A 24,925-nucleotide genomic window follows, 5' to 3' on the forward strand; every position below is an offset into this window, starting at 1 on the left:
GAGGATGTGGAGAAATAGAAACACTTTTACACTGTTGGTGGGACTGTAAACTAGTTCAACTGTTGTGGAAGACAGTGTGGCGATTCCTCAAGGATCTAGAACTAGAAATACCATTTGAACCAGTGATCCCATTACTGGGTATATACCCAAAGGATTACAAATCATGCTACTATAAAGACACATGCACATGTATGTTTATTGTGGCACTATTCACAATAGCAAAGACTTGGAACCAACCCAAATGTCCATCAATGATAGACTGGATTAAGAAGATGTGGCACATATACACCATGGAATACTATGCAGCCATAAAAAAGGATGAGTTCATGTCCTTTGTAGGGACATGGATGAAGCTGGAAACCATCATTCTGAGCAAACTATCACAAGGACAGAAAACCAAACACCGTATATTCTCACCCATAGGTGGGAATTGAACAGTGAGAACACTTGGACACAGGGCGGGGAACATTGCACACCGGGGCCTGTCATGGAGTGAGGGCGTGGGGGACGGATAGCATTAGCAGAAATACCTAATGTAAATGACGAGTTAATCGGTGCAGCAAACCAACATGGCACATGTATACATATGTAACAAACCTGCATGTTGTGCACATGTACCCTAGAACTTAAAGTATAATAATAAAATAAAAAATAAAATAAATAAATCTTTGTGAAGTTATAAACTTTAATTTTATTTGGTAGGTATCTAGAAGTGGAATTACTGAGTCATAGGGTAAGGGTATAATAAATTAAAAACAAAAACAAAGAAAACTTGTAAAATGTTTTCTGAATTGGCTATTTCATTTTACATTTCTATCGTCAATGTGTGAGGTTCCAGTTTTTTCACATCCTCTCCAATACTTGGTCTTTTTTAATAATCATCATTCTGGCAAATGTGTAGTGTCATCTCATTGTGGTTTTTAAATTTTGTTTCTCTAATAACTAATGATATTGAACATCTTTTGTTTGCTTATTGGTTATTCCTATATGATCTCTGATGACATACCTATTCGAACCCTTTATTCATTTTAATTGGATGGTTTGTGTTTTTATTTAGTTTTAACTGTCCCTTATCAGATACATGACTTTCAAAAATTTCTCCCTGCTTTATGATTTGTCTTCTCATTTTCTTAACAGGTGACTTTGAAGATAAACCATTTTTTATTTTGATGACGTCCGATTTTTCAATTTATCTTTTATGAATTATGCTTTTCCTGTTACTTCTAAGAAACAACTAAGCCAAAGTCATAATTTTTTTTCTGTCTTCTTCTAGAAATTTCATAGTTTTTGCTCTTATATTTGGTGTATGCCATGTTCTGAGTTAATTTGGGGGTATGGTGTGAGGTAATGATCCAACATCATTATTAATAGTATTTTTGCATAGTTTAATTTCTGTACTATTTGTTGAAAATAATATTATTTCATCATTAAACTGACTTTACACCATATTCAAAAATGAGTTAACCATAGTGGATGGGTTTATTTCTGATGTTTGTCTTCTATGTTCTTTTTTTTTTTTTTAGCATTACAAAATATTTTATATTTAATGAGAAAAAAGAAGCTTGCAGGCAGCACATGAAGCATTCACAGCAGGTATATGATTGAAAACTAGTAAAATAAGTGTAAGTTGTTGACTGATGTAGGTACTAATAGCATCTGACTTTCAGCACTGGCCTTGATTACACAGGAGATGGAGAAGTCGTTACAATTAAGAAAACATATTTAACAAATCATTGTCAATTTTTATAATGTTTCAAGCCCATTCTTTGTTGATAGCCTCCACATTTATATGGTTAAGTCATTGTTGCTGTGTTTCTTATCTATGACATTATTTTTATATCCCTTCATTTGTGGATCTTAAGATGTTGCAGAAGGTTCATTCCTGTACCCCAATACAGATTCACTTCCTTTAGCTGCCTTTTCTAGCACCAATATGCTTTTAAAAAAATGCGAAAACAACAAGCAGTGACAGCAGCCAATTCCTCGAATGTCCAGATTAATAACTGTAGCATGCTAAAGAAAGGTGTGTGTAAATAGCTGGAGATGGTATATGGTCCAGAGTCCAGCATAAAATTATTTCCTTTCTGAGCATTCCCTCCATTCCCCTAACCCAAATACATGCAAGAATGCAGCAAAACCCTTCAGAAACTTCTCTTAGCTAACTGCAAACTTATCTGTTGCCACAAGTGCAAAGGGGTATGATGTGAACCAGTATATCACAAAGCTCTTTAGCCACTTCAGTTGGTGACAGAACACAAAAGGAAAAAATTCCTACGTATACACACCAGTCTGTCTCCACTTTTTATAAAACTGGAATAAAATGGGAAAGTGCCATCTTTATTAATCCTAATTGAATTTTAAATGTCCTTTTGACACAAAAAGGTATATACATGACACAGCTACACAACCTTTTTTCAACTGGACAACAAGTGTCAAAACCCTGTGGATGTATAGGGTAAAACAAGATTGGTCACGAAAAGAGAATTGTTTCTATAACTGGTAATCTGACACAATGTCCTATTGCCATTAAAAAAAAAGGTCCCTTTTCAGTTTATTCAAGTTTGTTTTCATGGTGTTTTATCCCTCTTGATAAAAAAAAATTCAGACTTTTGTAATTTGTGTATGCTGATCTTCATCAAAAGGTTCATTCTCTGGATCAGAGTCAGTGGTGTCAGAATATCTATAATGATCAGGTTCATTGTCACTAACATCTGGTGTTACAGAAGTTGAACTGCTAGCCTCTGGATTTGACGGCTCCTCTACTGTTTTTGTGAAGTACAGCTTCACCTTAAAATTTGGAGAAAAGTATCGGTTGGCTTTGTCTTTATTTGCTTTGTCAAGATCATTTTTTGTTAAAGTAAGTACTAGATACTCCTTGTCATTATCTGCACGCTCTATACTGCAAATGCTATCAATTTCTTGATCACATAGACTTCCATTTTCTACTTTTTCTGAGGTTTCCTCTGGTCCTGGTATGAAGAATGTATTTACCCAAAAGTGAAACATTTTGTCCTTTTTTAGCATCTTGTTCTGTTTGTGGAAGAACTCTACTTTGATATCACCACACACAGGTAACGGCTGAGGGAACTCAAAATACATGAACTTGTCCTCCCATCGTGTGGGTCCTGAATTGGAGGAATACATCTTCACCTTTAGCTGGCAGACCACAAACTGAGGATTGCAAGTTCCGCCACTGAACATTGGAATAGTTTCAAACATCATCTTGTGAAACAACAGTGCCACTGGTCTATAATCCACATGATTCTTTACCAGGTAGCTATAGTAATACACATAGCGCCTCTGACTGGGAATAGTTACTCCCTTTTTGTCTCTGGTCCTTACTTCCCCATAGAAATCTAGGGCCTCTTGTGCCTTTAAAAATTTGCCCCGATGTAATAAATATGCATAAATCATTATACCAGTTCGTCCCTTTCCAGCTTTACAGTGAATTGCTGCAACATGATTGTCATCTTCACTTAGCCATTGGTCAAGATCTTCACAAAAGGGTTTGATAAGTTCTAGCTGTGGTGGGTTATGGTCTTCAAAAGGATATTGCGCAACTCTGTAATTAGATTTGGCGGTGTCATAATGTCTTTCAGCACAAAGATTGTGTATCTTGTAATGGTTTTTATGCTTTGAATCCAAAAACCTTACTACATCATCAATATTGTTCCTGTATACGCCTTCAAGTCTTTCTGCAGGAAATCCCATAGCAATAATGTTTAGATAAATATAGGTCAAGTCTAAGTCGAATCCATCCTCTTGATATCTCCTTTTGTTTCTGCTAACGATCTCTTTGATGATGGCTGTCCTGTCTGGGAGCCTGTGGCTGAAGAAAAAGGAGGAGAGAGATGGCAGAAGCTGCTGGTGGCGGGGCTCTGCAGGATGGAAATGGCTCTGGACTTGGCGGTAGCTGATGCCCCTCGCTCAGCCGCTGCTTGGCTCTGGACCGCAGCCGGGTAATGGCTGCGGCAGCAGCTGCTGGATGGTGGCAGCTACTGGGCCTGCTTCTCCTCAGCAGCCAGAGGCCTGGCAGCGGCGGCAGCGGAATGGGGAGAAGACGAATAATCCTCCGAACGGCTGCCTCCTCCAGCGGCCTCCGGAGCCCGGGCCACGGGGGGTGCGGCGGCGGCGGACGAGAGGTTTAAAACCGGCCCGGGTCCCTCCATGTGCCGCCGCCGCCGCCGCCGCCGCCGCCGTGTTGGAGGCAGTAGAAGGGGAGAGACCAACTCTCCGGCGTTCCCAGCCCTGGAAATGGTGACAGGCGACTCAGACCCCCTCCCTGGAGCTGCAGCCGCCGGGGCCACCGGGGGCGCCGCCGCCGCCGCTTCTCCCCCCGCTCCAGGAGGGGGAGGTGCCGCCGCCGCCGCGCCTCAGCCGGCTCCCGCCCAAGCCCACGGCTTCCACCTTCCCTTTCAGGAGAAGCCGAGGAAGAGGCTGCACAGTTAGAAAAGACGAAGAAGAAGCGAGAAACGCCGCCGCTGCCGGCGCCGCCCCCGCGGATGCTCACGGGTTGCTGAGAGGGGCTTCAGGCCGGGCCGGGCCGGGCCGCCGCCGCCGCCGCCGTCTCTGTCTCTCATCTCCCTCGCCTGAGCCCGGCCTCGCCTCACAGCGGCTCAACATTCAAACTTCCATCACGGCTGCAGCTTCTGAGAGGAGAGCATCTTCTAGGTTCGTAATCTATGTTGATCTTATGTTAATACCACACTCTGTTGATTATTGCAGCTTTATCGTATGTTTTAAAATTGGCTAGTGTAAGTCTTTTAATTGTGTTTTTCTTTTTCAAAATTGCCTTGACTATTCAAGTCCTAGGTATCACCATATAGGTTTAGGATCAGCTAGTCAATCTCTACAAAAGGTACTACTAGAATTTTGACAAGGATTGCCGTGTACTTATTGATAAATTTGGAGATAATTTCTATCTTAACAATACTGAGTCCTCCATGATCATGGAATGTTTTTTCCATTCTTTTTCATCTTTTAAAACTTATCTCAGCATTTTATATTTTTTCTATGTATAGGTCTTATATTTCTGTTGTTTAATATATTGCAAAGTGCTATTTTCTATACTGCAACTATAAAAATATTTTTCTTAATTTCACTTTTGGATTATTACTAGTATTAGAACACATATGATTTTTGTTATACATACTGTATCCTGACATCTTGCTAAATGGATTTGTTAGTTATAGAAGTTTCTTCGTAGATTTCACAGGAGTTTTGTTTTTGTTTTTGTTTTTCTTACATACAGGATCATGTAGTCGGAGATTAAAAAGAGTTCTACTTTTTCCTTTCCAACCTGGAAGCCTTTTATTGCAATTTCTTATCTGACTGTACTGTCTGATATCTCCAGTGCAAGGTTGAATAAAAGTAGTGAAAACAGACATTGTTACTTTGCTACCAAAATTATAGGCAAAGCATTCAGTCTTTTGAAGCTTTCATGTTTAAGGTGAGTGTTTTTTCATGCCGTTAATCAGGATGAGAAAGTTCAGTCTGTTCATAATTTGTTGAGATTTTATTATGATTGGGTACAGGTTATTTTGTCAAATTTATTTTATTGCATACACTGAGATAATATGATATGTTTTTTATTCTATTAATATGGTATATTACGTTAGTTGATTTTGGATGTCAAGCCAATCTTCCACTGGCAGGATAAATCCCACTTGGTCATAGTATATAATCGTTTTATATATTGCTAAATGAGGTTTGCTAATATTTTATGGAGACCATAGACATACTAGTTTGTAGTTTTCTTGTGATTTCTTTTATTAGTATCAAAGTAATTCTGACCTGTTAGGCTGAATTAGGAAATTGTGGACTGAACTGGGATGAATTTAGGAATAATCTTATTCTTTATTTTGTGAAAGTTTTTTTTTTTGTAGGAGTGGTATTATTATTTAAATATCTGATGGGATTTACCAGTAAAGTCAGCTAGTCCTGAGCTTTTCTCTATGACATGGAGTGATAAACTATTGCTCACATGTTAAAGTCAAGCCATGGCCTATATTTGTATGACTCATAAATAAACTAAGAATAAATTTTATACTTTTAAAGTGTTAGAAGACGGAAGAGGAGGAATAGGAGAAAAAGAACTGACAGAGGTTGCATATGGCCCAAAATATTTACTACCTAGCTCCTTACAGAAAAATTTTGCTGACCTCTTCTCTGTATGGTGTTATTTACTAAAATACTTCTTTACTTGTAATATGTCTATCCAGACATGTGGCTTTTTTTCTCAGTTACTCTTATGTCTTTCTAGGAATATGTCTGCTTCATCCAAGTTGTCAAATTCATTGACATAGTGTTGTTCATAACATTTCCATATGTTTCTATAGGGTTACTAATTGTATTCTTCATTTTCACTCCTGACTTTGCAATTTCTATTTTCTTGCTTTTTATCTTGTTCAGTCTGACTAAAGTGTTATCAATTTTATAGCGTTTCAAGTAACCAGGTTGTAGTTCCATTGATTTTCTCTATTGTTTTTCTATTCTCTATTGAATTGATTTTTAATTTGATCTTTATTATTTCTTCCTTATGTTTACTTTTGGTTGACTTTTATTTTTCCAGTGTCTTCAGGTAGAAGTTTAGATTATGATGGAAACTTTTGTGGTTGTTTTCCTAATGTAGTTATTTAAAGCTATACATTTCCCTTTAATTATGGCTGCGTTCCATGTACATCGATATATTTTTGGTTTTTTAGTTAAAAGCATAATTACTCTAGAAATTCCTTCTGAAGCCCACAAGTTATTTAGGAGTGTGATGTGTTTAATTTTCAAATATTTGTGATTTTTCCAGCTTCTTTCTGTTGTTTATTTCTAATTAAATCCCTCTGTGATGAGAGAATATACTTTGAATTATTTTAATCCTCTTATCTGTACGTTATTATATAATATATAATCTATATGGGGAAATACTCTATGAGCACTTGAAAAACCGTACATTCTGCTGTTGCTGAATACAGTGTTGTAAAATCATCAATTAAGTCAAATAGTTTTGTAGTGTTTTTCAGGTCACTTTTACCCTTATTTACTTTCTGTCTAGTTGGTGTGATCAATTTTTCAGACTGGAGGATTTAAGTCACCAACTATAATTTTGATATGTTTATTTTTGTTTCATTTCTGTCATTTTTACTTTATGTATTTTGGGACTCTGTTGTTAGGCTCCAGGACTTACTCCACAGTGCTGTACAGGCACATGGTTTCTACACTAAAAGTAACTAAACTTAGAGATTTGTGGGATACCATCAAGTATACCCACATGTGTAAAATTGGAGTCTCAGAAAGAGAGAAGGGAGAGAAAGATAAAGAAAAAATAATGGCCACAAACTTCTCAAAGTTGTGAAAAAGATTAATCAAAAGAACCTAGAAGCTTAACATCTCTCAAACACAGTAAACACAAAGATATCTATGTCTAGATACATTATAGTTAAACCTCAGAAAGCCAAAATCCACAAATAATATACTGAAATCAATATTTGTTCTCAACAAGAGAAAAATGACTCATCATGTGAAAGAGAAGAGTAATACAATTAACCTGACTTTAAATCACAAACAATGGAGATCAGAAGATAATGGAGAGGCACTGAAAGAAAAAAAAAATTCCACCCAAAATTCTCTATCCAGCAAAACTATCCTCTACAAATGAAAATGAAATAAAGACATGCCCAGATAAGCAAAAGCTACAGAATTTTGTGGTTAGCAGACCTGTCTTACAAGAAATATTAAAGGAAGTCATCAGGCTGAGAGAAAATGACATTGTTAGTAACTAAAATCCATAGTAAGAAATTAAGAGCACCTTAAAGGATAAACATATGTGTGAATAAATATAAAAAATACATACACACATATAAACACACATAGAAGGAATATATATTTTGTATATGTTTTTATAGCATTTAATATACATCAATCTGGGTGGGCACAATCTAATCAGCTGCCAGCATGGCTAGAATAAAAGTAGAAGAATGTGGAAGGACTAGACTGGCTAAATCTTCTGGCCTTCATCTTTCTCCCATGCTGGATGCTTCCTGCTCTCAAACATTGGATTCCAAGTTCTTCAGTTTTTGGACTCTTGGACTTAAACCAGTGATTTGCCAGGGGCTCTTGGACCTTCGGCCACAGACTGAAGGCTGCACTGTCAACTTCCCTACTTTTGATGTTTTGGGACTCAGACTGGCTTCCTGGCTCCTCAGCTTGCAGAAGACCTATTGTGGGACTTTACCTTGTGTTTGTGTGAGTAAATACTCTCTAATAAACTCCTCTTCATCTATCTTATTAGTTCTGTCCCTTTAGAGAACCCAGAATGTAAATTAGTACAGCCATTTTGACAAACAGTATGGAGGTTCCTCAGAAAATTAAAAATAGAACTACCATATAATCTAGCAATTCCAGTTCTAGATATAAATTCAAAGGATATGAAATCTGTATGTTGAAGAAATATATTCACTCTTATATTCCTTGAAGCATTATTCACACAGCCAAAATACAGAATTAACCTAGGTTTCCACCAATGGATGACTAGATGAAGAATATATGACTTATATTCTGTATATGTATATATATATTCTCTATATGTATATGTATATACATACACACACACACACACAAAAAAAATGGAATACTACTCAGCCATACAGAAAAAGGAAATCATATAATTTGCAACAACATGGAGACATTATGCTAAGTGAAATAATCCAGGCACAGAAAGACAAATAATGCATGGTCTCACTTATTCATGGAATCCAACAAAGTCAAACCCACAGAAGCAGAGAGTAGAAGGGTAATTGCCAAGCACTGGGATGTGGTTTGAGGAAGGGAGGCATGGGAAATAGGGAAATGTTGGTCAAAGGTACATGTTTTAATCAGAAATAAGTTCAAGAGATCTATTATGCAGCGTGATTACTATAGTTAATAATATATTTACTCTTGAAAATTGCTAAGAATGTAGATTTTAAATGTTCCTACCAAAAGAAGTCAAAACCAAATGGTAAGTATGTGAGGTAATGCATATGTTAATTAGCTTGATTTAATTATTCCACAATGTATACATATATCAAAATGTCACAATATCACATTGTATACCATAAATATATATAATTTGTATTTGTCAATTTTAAATAAGTAAATAAAGTAATGAGATAGCTTTCAACTAAGCTTATATAGTGGTATAATATAAAAATTTTTGTAGTAACAAAATTATAGTAATTTTGGCTTATACTGAAATGTGCATTAAACAAGTGTTTGCATAAAATTTCAATTCAAATTACTGTTCACAGCCCACAGAAAGCCACGAAAACGTGATTTACTCTTGGTATGGAAACAAATAGCTTGTACTCCTAAGGAAAAAAGAAAATTCCTGCCTTTTGATGAGAATTGTTTGAGTTTTATACTTACTTTATGGGGAGCTTTGCTGACCTCTTCATTCCACGATAGCTGGATATTCCTCCCCTGCATGTACTTTTGTTTCCTGGGGGCAGTGAGTCTTGGAAACATTTGTGAAATTCTTATTCTGAGTTTGCCTGGCCACAGCCCAGGTTCCTTCACGGACACTTCAGCATCAGGCTCTCTCCTCAGCTTTCTTTCTATCTTCTGTGCCCTCTGCTCATAAACCCCAGCTCATAGAAGCTGAAGTCACCTAGACTCCAAGACACCTGATTGTAGAGACAGGAAAGGAGTTCTCAGGATATGTGCCATAATTTCATACTGGTTTCTACAAGAATCAGGGTTGGAATTAGAGCTGATTCATTATTCAGTTAACATTGACATTGTTGATTAGAGACATATCCCTGTTGAAAATATTTCCCGGCAAAAAACAGAAGTTCCCTTTGGCTCTGAAATCTGCAAAGCCCTTTCAGATGTCCCTGTGTCCTTGTGCCGTCACTCCACAGCACTGCACAGGCATGTGCTCACCTCACAAAATGGCAGTCTCAAAGGGAGGAGTGTCCAACCACAAGAGGCGCCACCCTATGCTGAGAAAGAACCTTTCACAGGAGGAGAGAAAAGACCTTTCCAGAATCTTTAACATAAGATTTTTTGTGTGTGTGAAGTCTGACCTGAGCAGCAACCTTGCATCAGACTTCAAAAGGCAATATTTCCTGTACCTCCTTGTGCTGTACAAGTGAGTACAGAAGTCGAGAAAATGTTCCTAAGTCTATGGCCAGTTCAAATTCCATCATTTTCTATTTCTGAGATTAAATTATATGTATTAAGATCCTTACTCTGCCCTTTCATGTTTATTGCTCCTCGGACAAGATATCCCCTCTTCAGGTCCCAAACACATTCATTGCAATGCCTTTCCTCATCCTTGTCCCAGTCCTGGCTCTCTAGCTTCTTGAGACAATAACCCATCCTAAGGTATGTGGTGACATGCATCTTCTGCCTCACTGGGATCCCTAAGTGGTATAAGCATTCACTCAATTGCTTTAGCTAGAGTCCCCAGAATATCTTCACCCTCTGCTGTCACACTCTTCTTCCACATTGGTCCATAACCACATCTTTAACATTTCTGTTTATTAAAACCTCTCAAATTCAACCACTATTTTCTATCCCAACCAATACTGCCTTAGCTCAGGCAACCACTGTCTTTCACCTGAATTCCTTCAACACTTTCCAAATATCCACCTACCTGATGTCTTACTCTCTGTTCTAACTCAGTTCATTCTCTGCAGCTGAAAACACTTCCTTTCCATTGACTTTAGGGTTATGACCAGTCTTCTTTATATCTAAATGTTAGCCTGTAAGTTCTTTTTGTAAAATAAATAAATAAATAAAAATCTTCCAAACTACAAATTCTTAAAACCCTCCATGATTTGGCCCTTGCATACCTATCCAGTCTTGTGAAATTCACCTACTCTTTACCCACTTTTTGCATACTTATGCTCTAATAATATTCATAATCCCTTAGCTCCATATGTACTTTCTTACTCACTCCTGAGCCTTTACATATGCTGTTCACAGTACTTAGAATAATCTTTCTCTCCCTATTTATCTGTACTACTAATCCTTCCCGTTTAGGCCTGAGTCTTTAACTGTGGTAAATACCCCATGGTATCCAGAGCTTCTACAATCATAGAGTATCACACACTTCATTGCTTAACTTATTATGATAGTTTTAAAAATTATTAATACAAAATATGCTCAATGAGGCCAAGACCATGTCCAAGGTTTAATTTTTGTATCTTCAACAGTATTACAGGCTCTGAATAAAGTAGGCGCTCTATAAATATTTATTGAACAAACCAGGGTTTTATCAGTTCTTGCCTCTCTAGCTAAGATATGATCTCAGCTATCTAAACATTTCTCTCTCAAAAGTATTGCTGCAATTATTTAGAGATTTTCACATTGTGGTAGACTGAAGAATAATCTCCCAAAATGATCAGATCTGAATCCTTGAAAATTATGAATATGTTCGCTTACATTGCTGAAAGGATTTTGCAGATGTGATTAAGTTAAGGATCTTGAAATGGGGAGGTTTTCCTTGGTTAGCTGAGTGGGCCCAATATCGTCACACACTTTCCTAAAATATCTTACCAAAACCACACCACCTCTGTGAAGCCCTCTCTCTTTTCCCAGACAGATATGGAGGTTTCTTTCTTTACGTGTTTATAACAAATTAAAGAAACTTCAACTTCTATCACTATGTTATGATATTTATGGTCATGTCTGACTCTTCCTAGACTAGAATGGTTTTTGAGGGATTGGACTATATGTTCATTTACCTTTGTAAATCCAGTATGTAGGACTTGGTACAATATATTGGATACAGAATTATAAGCCCGATAGGAGCAGAAAACTTTGTTGCTCATCCTTGTATCCCAGAATCTAGTACTATGTCCGATGAGTGTAGTAAGAGTGAGGCAAGAGGATGCAAGTCAGAAAAAGGCTATGTGACAACAGAAGTAGAGATCAGAATGACAGACACTTTGAAGATGGAGGAAGGGCCCTGAGCCCAGTAGTGCAGATGGCACCTAGAAGCTGGAAAAGGCAAAGAAATGGATTCTCCCATAAAGCCTACAAAAGGAACACCACCTGCCAACACCTTGATTTTTAGCCCCAAAGACTTATTTCAGACTTTTATCCTGAACAGGACAGAAGCAAAAAAATGGAATTGATCAACATAAAAGCAGAAGTTAATAAGGTAGAAAATTTTGTAATGATAGAACTAAGAAATAAGCAAATGAGATCATTGTTTGCCAGCCAAAAGACAGAGAGGACAAATATACTAAAACAGAAGTGACAAGGGGAAGTATGATAAAGTCTATTTTTAAAAACAATATTTTGTATAATTCTCTGCAAACAACCTAAAAGCCTAAATGAAATGGCTCACATTATAAATTTAACAAAACTGACCCTAATGTGGATAAAAAGCCTAAACAAAACAATGACTACAAAAGAAATAAATAAATTTGTAATAGAATTTCCTCACAGAAAAGCGCCAGTCCCATATAGTTTCTTACAGGGATTTTTCCACACCTTTTAAAATCAGGGACTTTGAGAATACCTAAAACATTGCAAAGTATAGAAAAGTAGGGGAAATTTCTAAATTATTTTCATGACATGACCTTAATATTTATAACAAAACTCAACAAAACTGCACCTTAAAAAAAAATCTATAGACCGGCCAGGCGTGGTGGCTCCCATCTGTAATCCCAACACTTTGGGAGGCCAAGGGGGGGCGGATCATGAGGTCATGAGATCAAGACCATCCTGGCTAACACAGTGAAACCCCATCTCTACTAAAAATACAAAAAATTAGCCAGGCGTGGCAGCACGTGCCTGTAGTCCCAGCTACTCGGGAGGCTGAGGCAGGAGAATCGCTTGAACCCGGGAGGCAGAGGTTTCAGTGAGCCAAGATCGTGCCACTGCACTCAAGCCTGGGCAACAGAGCAAGACTCCAACTCAAAAAAAAAAAAAATCTATAGACTTACATCACTGATTAGTATTGATAAAAAAAAGTATTCGATAATAGTGAATCAAATAATGACATTAGAAAATAACCTACAAATTGGCGTTTGCTCCAGGATGGTAAGGGTAGTTCAACATTAGTAAACTTACTCATCAAATCCATTATATTAGTCAATGGGGTTGGCCTGAGCACTGGGAAAGGGGTGGGTAGAAAATACTGTCTCAGAAAGGCATTGAGAGAGAACACATACTAATCCTATCTGGAAATTTACGCTCCTCTTCAGCCATTCCCGTCTCTTAAGGATACTCTCCAGCTTTACTGAACTCTTTGCAAACTCCAAAAATATCATATTCTCTTAGATGTTGCATAGGCTGGTCCCCCAGCCTAGTCTACCAGGAAATTATTCATTTTCCTACAAATCTTACTTAAACCCACACTACCTCTGTGAAGTCCTTTCTTCCCAGGGAGATATGGAGGTTTATTTTCCTATGTGTTTACAACAATTTAAAGTCTGTTACTGTATTATGGCTTTTTGGTCGTGTCTGACTCCTTCTAGGCAAGTATGGTCTTTGAAAGATGGGACCGTAAATCTTTTTACCTTTGTAACTGCAGTAGTAGGACTAGGAATGATATATAGAATACAGAATTATAAGTCCCCATGGGAGAACAGACCTTCTTTTTGTTGTTCATGCTTGTATCCCAGAGTCTAGTACTATGGTGCACATAGATGTATATTTACTCAATAATATGAAAGACCCAAATATGCCTTTATGGAATTGACCCTGCAGTTACACCTCACCATCTCCTACTTACCCCAGAATTATTTATTAACTATCTCATGTCTTAGGTCTCAACCCCCTTCCCTAGTTAAGAGGGGGCCCTGTTGCTAAGCAGGTTAAAATAGGAGGCTGATGAAGAAAATCTCTGTGGAAAATACTGAAGAGGAACACAGGAATAAAAATACCTCTACTCTGATGATGCCTTATATAAAGGCAGATGCAGTTGGCTTAAACTTCTACATTGGCTCATTTCTATGAATGCCACACCTCTCAACTTCAGGGACTTCCAGTGAGGTGCTTCACAACAATCTCTGGAGTCAGTGCAGAGCTACTCCCTTGGCGAATCTCTTCACTGACACTCAATGGGCCATCAGGGTGGGACTTCGCCTCTGCTAAGCCACAGGAATACACTAAATCCTGCTCCTGAGAGGAAGGGAAAGACAAAGGATCATAGGAAGTAAACCCCTTGAGGAAATTTCAATTTGGAATTTATTCTATTTATAACAAGGCTCGAGTAGCATATTTATTTTCCCCATCTCAGACCCTAACCTCAAGTGAACTTACTCCCAGATTCACACACATAAACATATGCACCAGCACCATCTCAGCAAGGAGGCAGCTGCAACAAAAAGCAGCAGGTGGGAGAATATTATGTTACATATTAAACTACAGGATTACTCCAAGAATTACATTCCCTAAAATTATTCCCTCCATTGGAAGCAGACTGTAGCCAATAGGAAGAGAAATTGCTAAAACAAAAATGCGTTCGGTTGGATGAAATATTTACCTAAAACGGAAATATATTTAAGAAGACATAATTCTTCAGAATTGTAAGGTAAAAATAAAATCCTATACCCACCAACTGACTGAAAGGACCATTTCTGGGACAAGGGCACCCCAGAGTAACCTTGAACATTGAGTTCTTGGCTAGGACAGGATGGAGGGGTCAGACACACCTTATTATACCTCTCCCTTGGAGCTGTGATGACGTTTTCTTCCCTAAAGGCTAAACACAAACCAGCCCTTTCAAAAGACTCCATCCCTAAAAGCAACAGAAAGTCTGATGCTGCCCCTCCTTTTTGCCTGGTAAGAGGCCACCAACCAAACGGTGTTTCTGGCCAGTCTAGGGAGGACATGTAGTGAGGCTTTTGGTGTCCTTTGCTTCACCTTTTGATGTCAGAGAGCTGAAAACTCCACCCCCAGATCATGCTAACATGGCCATTTTTTTTTACAGGGGTCCCATGAAGGAGCAGGAAACTCAATTGTGGAAGCACACGTTTTTCCCTTTATTAATGTTCATGACTCCTCCTATACCTTATTGTATATCTATATTTGGCCATTCCACTCAGCATGTATTTCTTTTCCCTTTGCCCCTCCCTAGACATGTCTGTTTCTGGCTTCTTGCCAGAGCTGTGCTTCCCAGCCTGTCAGAATGGCCACACTGCAGGCTGCAACCCTTTATGAGAAATAAAGCTCTCCCTTCCAAATTTGAACTTCCTCATTCTTCAGTTGACAATATCATCATTCTTCTAAGAAGATATCAGTGAAATTTCAAGGATGATTCAGCACGATAATGAAATGTTTGTAATCATTCAAGATATACTAAATGCTGAAGGAAGTCAGTTTAGAAATAAGAAGTAGGACAACCAAAGGATAGAACTTAGAAGAGGACAAATAAAGGATTTTACAGAAGCCACTCATGAAAAGAGATCCACCAATTCTGAGATAAAAGAACTGGGTTTGAGTAAGCCACTTGTTGTAAGAGTGCTCATCAAGGTTTTCAGAAAAAAATAAACAGAGCTAGTCAATGACACCTGGTAATAAAAGATATTTTGAATTTCAGGCCATAGAGGGTAGCATGCTAAGTGCATTTTCAGTTTTGGGAATTAGAGTAAAATGAAAATAATTTCTGAAGAAGCCTCCAGCCAAACTCTAAAAAGAAAAAGTTAAAAATGCAAGGTATAGAATATTTGAAAAATTTATTATTAATAGTTGAAAGTACATATTTTAGAACTGGACTGATCCAGTCACCATCTAGTTTTGCCATGTTACTTAACCTCTCTAAAGGTAGTTTCCTAGCCTATAAAATGGAAATAGTCACACATGGCTGTGAGTTTTATTTAATTGAGAAAATGTATGTAAACTGCCTGACACAATCCCTAGCACAAGAATAAGACTCAATCATAACTAATGGTGGTAGCAGTAAGAGTGCTACTACTAGCTGACCATTCTGGAAGTTGAGCCTGAGTGAGTGATTACTATACACTGTGCAGTTGTAACTTCTTAACACATTAATTCATTTAATCTTCACAGCAAATCCATGAGGTTCATACTTTTATTAGTACAATTTACAGAGAGTAAAACTGAAGCATTCACAGTTAACTTACTTGCCTAAAATGAGCTTAAGTAGCAGAACCCATATTTAAGCCCAGGCACTATCTCTCCAGAGCCTTCTTTGTTAGCCACTAACCTTGTGGTAGTGCTATCAAGTAAATGGGCTTGCTGTCTGATATGCTCAGAAGCCAATAACCATGGCACCAGCTTTTGAGGAAAGAAAGGTTTTACTGCAAAACTGGTCAGCAAGGAGACATGAGCTGGCTCAAATCTGTCTTCCTGATTTGGGGTCTTGGACAAGTTTTAAGGGACTGAGAGAAAGGATTTAGTAATACTGGGTTGATAGAGTCTGACTGGAGGGCTTCAGATTTAACCATTTATGGTAAAGTAGGTTGAGGTAGATTTGAGCCCAGATCTTCCCAGCCAATGAACCCACTGCTTCTCAAAGAGTTTTGGCATTCAGATTGCAGGCATCTTCCTGTCTTCTTGGTTCCGAAGGGAGGAATCATTCATTCCAGGTGTTGTTCGAGATCAAAGCTTTTGGCTCTGTTGTACCTACAAGCAAACTCAACATTTTGTTATCCACATAATAGACCCAGTTTGGGCTGATCCTACAGTTACAAATTCTTCCCTTTTTGTTTAGTTTAGTTTAGTTCTCAATCTTGAAGGAATTGAGTGTCTACCACTCTAGCTACTTTTTGTTGACAAGGGACATAGGTCTGGGTTTGAGGAATGAAATTGTTTCATAATTAATTGCAAATGTTCATGGGTCCTGGGTTGAAGTCAAACAGGTGGGTCAGGGAATTATTTTGATATTTAATAATTATTTCATGAGCAGGGGGAATTGATTTAAAAAGACAAGATAGACAACAGGTAGAGAACTTGAGAGAAGGAAGAGAAATCTCAACACATACAGAAATATAATTTTTAGTTTAAGTAGACCCTCAAAAATAGATCTTATTCCTGATGAAAACATGTTTACATATTATATCCAGGTTTGTTAGAGAACACTAGATGGAGTCAAGTGGCTTTTGGTCTATTATTATTTGGGTCTGTCTCAACATTTTTAGAAGTATTAATGTAAATACAGCATGATGTATTAAAGCATAAACACCTCTTTGTTTAGCTAGTATATAATCTAGGGTAATTTTATTATCTAGTATTACTTTAGCCAAAGCACCTGGCTCTCTCTGTTGAGCCACCATGGCCATTGTGGTCTCCTTGGCAAGCTTTTTCAGGGCAATGGAAAGGTTTTTAATCATATGTTTATGAGAAGCAACTACCCACCATGGCAACAGAGTTTGTCTAAAGAAATATCCTATACCATCTGGTGGGCCACCTGGTAAATATTTACCTGGGAGGAGGTTTAGCATAGATCTTTTGGCCATTATGAACAGTTTTATGGTGTTAGTCTAATGCCTAGCATCACTAATGTCATAGACAGAGAAAGGAGTGACTAAGTACCCTAGTAAACAGATGTCTTTTGGGCATCAGCTGTCAAGGCATTCATAGTCCCAGGGCTGGTCGTTTGTTTCATAGACAAAGACATATCCTGAGGAGGCGCATAGAATACCAGATATATTAACATTTAAGTTCTCAGTTTGAGGAATTTTACTTAGGACTTGGTGAAAGTAGGAGCCAGAGTATAGAAGAGTCTAGAAGAAGTTTTCTAACTTACAAATTGGTAGGGAAGAGGGCAGTCCCTGAAGGTATACTAGGTTCTTTTTATTTAAATCTTGACATAATCATGTAGATCTACAGTTTGAGGACACATCAGTGTATCTCTCCTGGACCAGAGGATAGAAAACAGGAAGTGGATAGTAGGTGTGTCAAGTAAACAGATGACTTCTGTTTCTGAGTTAGCCAATGTCTGGCTTCTGTGGGCATAGGCCCCTTTATCCTAACATAAGTGTCTTTGAAGGGGATGTTAATGAAAAACAGGGAACTAATGATCCTCCACCAGCAAATCTGACTTATACTGTGGGTTTTTGATCATAAGTCACCAGAAAATTAGGCACTTTAGAGAAGCTGGTCACAGAGATAAGCAGCAGATCAGTGTGATCAAGTGCAGAGGAGGGTTTTTGATGACATCTCTAACATTTAGATAGATTTTGTGAGGTAGGTAGGGATTGGGACATTTTTATCAAGAAATTATCTTTTTTGCCATGTGTGGTGGCTCATGCCTGTAATCCCAGCACTTTGGGAGGCTGAGGTGGGTGGATCACTTGTGGTCAGGAGTTTGAGACCAGCCTGGCCAACATGGTAAAACCCCATCTCTACTAAAAATACAAAATTTAGCCAGATGTGTTCACTTGAACTCAGGAGGCAGAGGTTGCAGTGAGCCGAGATCGTGCCACTGCACTCTAGCCTGCACGACAGAGGGAAACTCTGTCTGAAAAAGAAAAAAGAAAGAAAGAAAGAAAGAAATTATCCTTTTATGTTGAGGTTAAGGCAAGCAAAAGGATATAAAAGGATATAATAGAGGAAAACTGTGGGCATTTTAAACAGAGGAAATCATTTTGTTTCACTGAGAGGAGATATTTGGCTGATAGAAAGAAAAGGATCAGAAAAAAATAAACTCTACCCAAGGAAGGGCTATAAGGTCCTAAATATATTTTTGAGGTTAAATCAAGGAGGTAGAGGTGATTAATTCAATAGCGCAGAATAATATATATGACAACAAGGTAAAAATTAAGTTGCATTAATACAGGCCTCACCCAATATCTTGGGCAAGCTGTCTCCTTTAGTTGTCTCCTGTTTCTGCCCTCGTAGTTCTATCAGATGGAGGCTGGTTTTAGACACAGAAATGATTTTCACTTATCTGGAGAGTCAGGAGCCCTTTTGGTCTTATTGAGTTTTTTAAAAAGTAACTTAAGATCATTTAGGGGTTTCCAAGTGTGTTCCTGGGTGGAAAAACTGGTTGTGGGCCTCCACAGCCATCTAGTATATGGTCAGTCTGGTCCTTTGGTTTTTCTTACCTGTGAAGGGCATGACCTGTTTGGGAATTTTACAGGGACCAAGAGGAATCTTTTGAAAATGGGAATAACTCTTACCCATGAATGATGAATTTAGGGCCTCAACCCTTTTAACTTTATTGCTGAATGGATCACTAAAGGAACTTCATAGGGCCTAATCTATTTGAACTGTAGTTGGTCTTCAGGGTGGTGATTTTTCTAGGTCGTAAGTTGTACTCAGTTTCCTAGACTTAGACAATGTAAAGGGAACATCTATAGGAAACATTAAAACAGCTAGAAGTGTAATTATGTATAGCAGACAAAGTTATACCCAGAGACTGTACACATTTTATAGCATCTAATGCATTTACCCATCATGATGATTTTCAATGTTAAAATAATATTTAGTCATAAGAAGGGTTGTCCCACATAGAATTCTGTAGGGGCTAAACTGGTGCTTGCTTTTAGGGGCCATTCTTACTCTAAGCAGGGCAAGTGGCAAGACCTTATCCTATGTTAAATTGGGTTTTTGACACATTTTGGCAAGTACATTTTATAAGATATTGTTTATCTTTTCAGTCTTTCTAGTAGACTGGAGCCTCTAAGAGATGCTTAATTTCCACTGTATCCTAAGAGCTCCATAAACTTCTTAGGTAAGTCTGGTATTTGTTGTCACTTTGAATTGAAATAGACAATCCGAAGTAAGGAATTATGTCTTTTAATAAAGCTTGAGTTACCTCAGATGCATTTTTTGTTTGACATGGAAAGAACTTGACCCGTCTAGTGAAGGTGTCTACAAGTACCGACAGGTATCTATAGTTTCCTCCAGCTCCTGGCATAACTGCAAAGTCTATTTGACAATCTTGTCTTGTTTCTCTTCCTCAGGTTTAGACCCCTTTGCCTGCTGGAGGTGGTCCTGTCTTTGGATTCTCTGTAGCACAAATAAGACAATTTTGGATAGTCTTTTGTACGTGCAGCCTGACAATAAACTTCAGTAACTAATGATAGGTTGTGTTTCTTCTATAATGAGTTCTTTGATATAACTGGGAAATAATCCTTTATCAAATGCTCAGGGACAAGAACTATTCCTTGTTCACTGTAAATCTAGACTTCTTTAGTTATTTTATAGTGTTCCCTCTCCAAGTCTTGAGTATGAGTATGAAATCCCTACTGGTTTGCTCTTTCTAGATTTACCTTTGAGTACTGGGTTTAAATAAGGACAGATTCATACTTGGAATAAGTACCAGAGCCTTTGTTTTAGGCTGTTTTATCCTAACTGTATGTTTTTCTACCTGATCAGCTAGATTATTGCATTTAGTTATCTAGCTATCAGTCTTTTGGTGTCCTGGGCACTGCATTATGGCCATTTTTTGACAGGAAAATTGAGTCTAATAAGTCTAATATCTCTCTTGTATGTTTAATTTTATTCTTTAAGAGATTAGTGAATCTCTGTCTTTTATATGGCTCCATTTACATGCACTACCAAAAAGACATATTTGGATTCTATATAAATGGTTACCTTTTTATTTGTCCTGAGGTGTGAAGCTCGTGTGAGGGCAATAAGTTCTGCCTTTTGGGCAGAGATACCTGGTGGGAAAGCCTCAGGTTTTAAGATTTTCTGGTAAGTCACTAGGTGTTTATCTGGCTTTTCAGAGACCCTGATCCATGAAGCTGTTCACATTGGTAAACATTCCCAGGTCTGGGTATTTCAAAAACTGATTTGTCAAGTCAAGCCTGTTTTTTTAGAGCCTCTTTTAGGATTTCAGGTGGTATCTTTCTTCTCATTGTAATAAGGCAACTTGGAGGGTGCAGGCTTGTTTAGGAGACACTCTAATATTGATTCATTCTGGTGAAAAATTACTTGTGCATTTAATTTTGTTAGCAAGTCTTATCCCAACAAAGGTATTGGACATTCAGGCATATATAGGAAGCTATGTTTAAATAGGTTTTTCCTCTGTGGCATTTGAGTGGTTGAAGGAAAGGCTTGCAAGGATGTTTCCCCAGATACACCAGTAATAGCAGTGGTCTTTGGGAAGATGGGGACTTGTCTTATGTTTGGGATAGAGTGTGTAGCTCCATGGTCAACTAGAAAATCTATACATCACTTTTCCACACCAACTGTCATCTGCACTTCTTTGTGGGAAATGTTGACAGAGCTAATAGAGTGTATAGAAGTCCCTGGGTCTCATCATTACTGGTTGCTATCAGTAAGCTGTGGCATGTGGTGTGTTGATCTGTGGGAAGTTTTATCTTAAAAGACTATAGACAAGTATGTTATTAAAGTTTCCCATTTTGTATAGAGTTTTATCTGAAATAACTGGAACAAGCTCCTGTACAAACGAGGTGTTCTCGGTCTGTGGTGTGGTGATTATGGGGATTCCTCTTCAGAGAATCACCAATGGGCTAGATATTCCCTCTTACATGTCTCAGAGGGTCCTAAACACCAGATGGTATTGGGCCGCTCGAGATGTTGGGGTTACCAAGATCCCTTATGTGCTCCTCCTGGATGAGCTGTTGAAGTTCTTTCTGACCCAGGAATGGGGGATTGGTTTATCACTTTACATCGTAAGCCAATGGCCTCAACACCTCTGCCAGGCTCTTAGTCACCTAGGAACACCCTAAAGGGCAGGAGGAAGCAATGTATTTCATCTTTGGAATCCAAGGACTTTCATTTAAATAAACTTCTAATGAGGTTCTTGTCACAACCATCAAAAATTTTAACCTCTGTTAGGATGAATAATTATGCAAACCAAAAACTCAGAAACACAAAGGAAAACCAAAACCAAGCCAAATTGAGTACTCTAACAGTTACAGCACCTTACTATTGCACTTATTCTTTCAGACCCTAACCCAAAGCCAGGACTGAAATAATCTAACCAGGACCTCCCTAGGGTAGGATTCAAACCCATGAAGCTACACAAAAATAGGACTCTAATCTACACTCCTAGACCAAAGATAATTTAAGGTGTAAGCACATATTACCAAGGTACTGACTCCAAAAGACATCTTATCCAGAAGCAATTTCTTTCCTCAAAAGAGAAAGTAGCACTCAAAGGGCCTGAAATGTCATGACAGAGAATAAGGACCTCACAGCTAAGCCTCTGGATAAACTGGTCTAGGTAGCACCACTCAGGGTCAGTGAAGAAACTTTAGTTCCCACTGAGGGGCTACAGTGCCTTGGCAGGCATTGGCCTCACATTGGGCACCTATATTTGTTATCAAGCAAATGGGTTTGCACACAGAAGCCAATAACTATGGCACCAGCTTTTGAGAAAAGAAAAGGCTTTGTTGAAAAACCAGTCAGCAAAAAGAAAGGAGTGAGCTCAAATCTGTTTCCCTGATTTGGGGTCTAGGGCAGGTTTTAAGGGATCAGAGAGCAAGGGAAAGGATTTAGGAATGTTGATTTGGTAGGGTCTGATTGGAGGGCTTCAAATATGACTATCTATGGTAAGATATGTTGAGGCACATTTTAGCCCAGGAGCTTCTGGGCCAATGGACCCCTCACTACTGAAAGAGGTCCGGCTTTCAGGTTCCAGTCATGTCTTGGTCTTCTTGTTTCTAAGGGGAGGAATCTTTGGTTCTGGGTATTGTTAGAAGTCAAAGCTTTTACTGTTGCACATGCCTTGGCTACATGATTTGCAGTTATGTAGCTGTTGGCAGTGTGAGAGACAAGCGTTGTTTCTCTGGCCAGGAAGTGAATGAAAAGTGCTGGTATCAGAGACTAAATTAATCACAGCACCAAGCAACATCCTGCTTTTGGTGCTGCCATGAGCAACAGGCTTCTCTGCTGTGTGATCATTTGTCTCCTAAGAGCAGGTGAGTCCTGGGCACAGGTGAGGAATCCCTATTACTGAATTCACAGGATCTAACTATAAAATGTTTCTTCATAAAAGTCACATTAGTCTCCTCTTTCCCAGGCTCTGTCTTTATTTGATCACCCATTTTTCCCAACAGGCCTCAAGGATGCTGTAGTTACACAATTCCCAAGACACAGAATCATTGGGACAGGAAAGGAATTCATTCTACTGTGTCCCCAGAATATGAATCATGTTGCAATGTACTGGTATCGACAGAACCCAGGACTTGGACTGAAGCTAGTCTATTATTCACCTGGCACTGGGAGCATTGAAAAAGGAGATGTCTCTGAGAGGTATCATGTTTCTTGAAATACTATAGCATCTTTTCTCCTGACCCTGAAGTCTGCTAGCACCAACCAGACATGTGTGTATCTCTGCGCCAGCAGTTCATCCACAGCACTGCATAGCTGCCACATCCTCTCCACATAAAAAAAGGTGCATACCAAAGAGGAAAAGCCTGCCCTCAAAATTCCTCACCGCAAATAAGAGAAGTTACCTCACAGGTATTGACAAAAAGAGCCAAACTCTGTAAAATATTTGAAGAGATTTATTCTGAGCCAAACATGAGTGAGCATGGCCAGAGGCAGAGGCTCAAGGGCCTAAGAACGTGTGTCCAAGGTGGTCAGCCTACAGCTTGGTTTTATACCTTTTTGGAGACATCAGACATCAATCAATACATGTAAGCTGTACATTGTTTCAATTTGGAAAGGTGGGACAACTCAAAGAGGGGGCTTCCGGGTCATAGGTGGATTCAAAGATTTTTCAGACTGGCAGTTGGTTGAAAGAGTTAAGTTATCGTCTAAAGATTTGAAATCAATATAAAGAAGTATCTGGGTTGTGGGGACCAAGGTTCTTATTATGCAGATGAAGCCTCCAGGGAGCAGGCTTCAGAGAGAATAGATTGTATTTCTTAATCAAACTTTTAAAAGGTGCCAGACTCATAATTCTCTTCTGGATCAGGGGAAAAACCTGAAAAGGAAAGAGAATTATCTACAGAATGTAGATTTCCCTCATGATAGACAGCTTTGTAGGGCCGTTTAAAAATATGTCGGAAAATACATTTTGGGGTAAAATATTGATTTTTTTCAGGGCCTGCTAGGAGTCATGTTGGTGTCTTATTGCTACAAAGGGTCTGTTTTGTCACTCATAAGGTTTCCATTGTAATGTTAATGCTGGTTGGTTGTGCCTGAATTCTAAAGTGAAGAGGGTATAATGAGGCATGTCTGACCCCACTTCCCACTAAGAACTGAACTGGTTTTTCATGTTAACTTTGGAATGCTCTTGGCCAAGAGAAGGGGTCCACACAGTTGGTTGTGGGGCTTAGGATTTTATTTTTGGTTCACACAAAAGTATACCAATGTCCTCCCCTAGGTTTGATATGCCCTGCTTCCCTCTTTCCATTTTTGTCCTTCTAGGACACCTTTTTGGTTGTTATTAAACCCTTCATTTCTTGTCAATATCCCACTAGACTATAGGGCATCAACACAATATGAACACTTGTCTTGGTTTATTTGTGCTACTATAGCAAAATAACTGAGATTGGATAATTTATAAACATGAACTTGTCACAGTTCTGTAGGCTCAGAAGCCCAGAACAAAGCACCTCAGGTTCAATTTCTGGTGAGGGCCTTGGTCTCTGCTTCCAAGATGGCACCTTGAGTGCTATGTCATCACATGAGAAAAGTGCCTAAGCTGGTTCCCTACCCTTTTATGAGTCACTAATCCATTCATGAGAGCAGAACCCTCATGACCTAATCACTTCCCACCTCTTAATACTGCCACAATGGGGATTACATTTCAAAATGAATTTTAGAAGAAACACATTCAAACCACAGCACATTTCTAGACAAACTTTCAGACACAGATGTAGAGAAATTTTAATGAAATTGAATTTTAACCAAGTGAAGACAACCCACAGATTTGCAAATACCCTTCTAAGATTCTTCAAAGATATCTCAATGGTTAATCACGTTGTTTAGGAAAATGAGAACAGTGACAGCAAGACCTTCTCAGTGGTACAATGGCCTCAGCAGCAGTAAAAGAGGGTAGTAAACATTATGCAGACTTTGTGTGGGCTCTGGATCACCCACAGAG

General features: G+C 38.6%; 1 long non-coding RNA gene and 3 pseudogenes across 2 annotated transcripts, besides 3 other annotated features; 3 read left to right on the top strand and 1 right to left on the bottom strand.

Moving 5' to 3' along the window:
* Window positions 666–4,582, bottom strand: PTENP1 (phosphatase and tensin homolog pseudogene 1; annotated as a pseudogene). Its single transcript, NR_023917.1, has one exon. The product of NR_023917.1 is annotated as a phosphatase and tensin homolog pseudogene 1 (transcript).
* PTENP1-AS (PTENP1 antisense RNA) lies at window positions 4,430–15,173 on the top strand. The gene is made up of 4 exons (NR_103745.2): window positions 4,430–4,671; window positions 5,252–5,449; window positions 8,056–8,235; window positions 14,921–15,173. It is a non-coding gene; the product is annotated as a PTENP1 antisense RNA (long non-coding RNA).
* On the top strand, window positions 9,432–9,885 carry TRBVAOR9-2 (T cell receptor beta variable A/OR9-2 (pseudogene); annotated as a pseudogene). The gene is given in 1 exon segment: window positions 9,432–9,885. A coding segment is annotated over 1 exon segment (454 nt).
* TRBV26OR9-2 (T cell receptor beta variable 26/OR9-2 (pseudogene)) lies at window positions 22,742–23,223 on the top strand (annotated as a pseudogene). The gene is given in 2 exon segments: window positions 22,742–22,790; window positions 22,929–23,223. Coding segments are annotated over 2 exon segments (344 nt in total).
* Window positions 23,224–23,230: a recombination feature (RSS heptamer).
* Window positions 23,231–23,253: a recombination feature (RSS spacer).
* Window positions 23,254–23,262: a recombination feature (RSS nonamer).

The sequence above is a fragment of the Homo sapiens genome, chromosome 9 (assembly GCF_000001405.40).
Source record: "Homo sapiens chromosome 9, GRCh38.p14 Primary Assembly".
Lineage (NCBI taxonomy): Eukaryota > Metazoa > Chordata > Mammalia > Primates > Hominidae > Homo > Homo sapiens.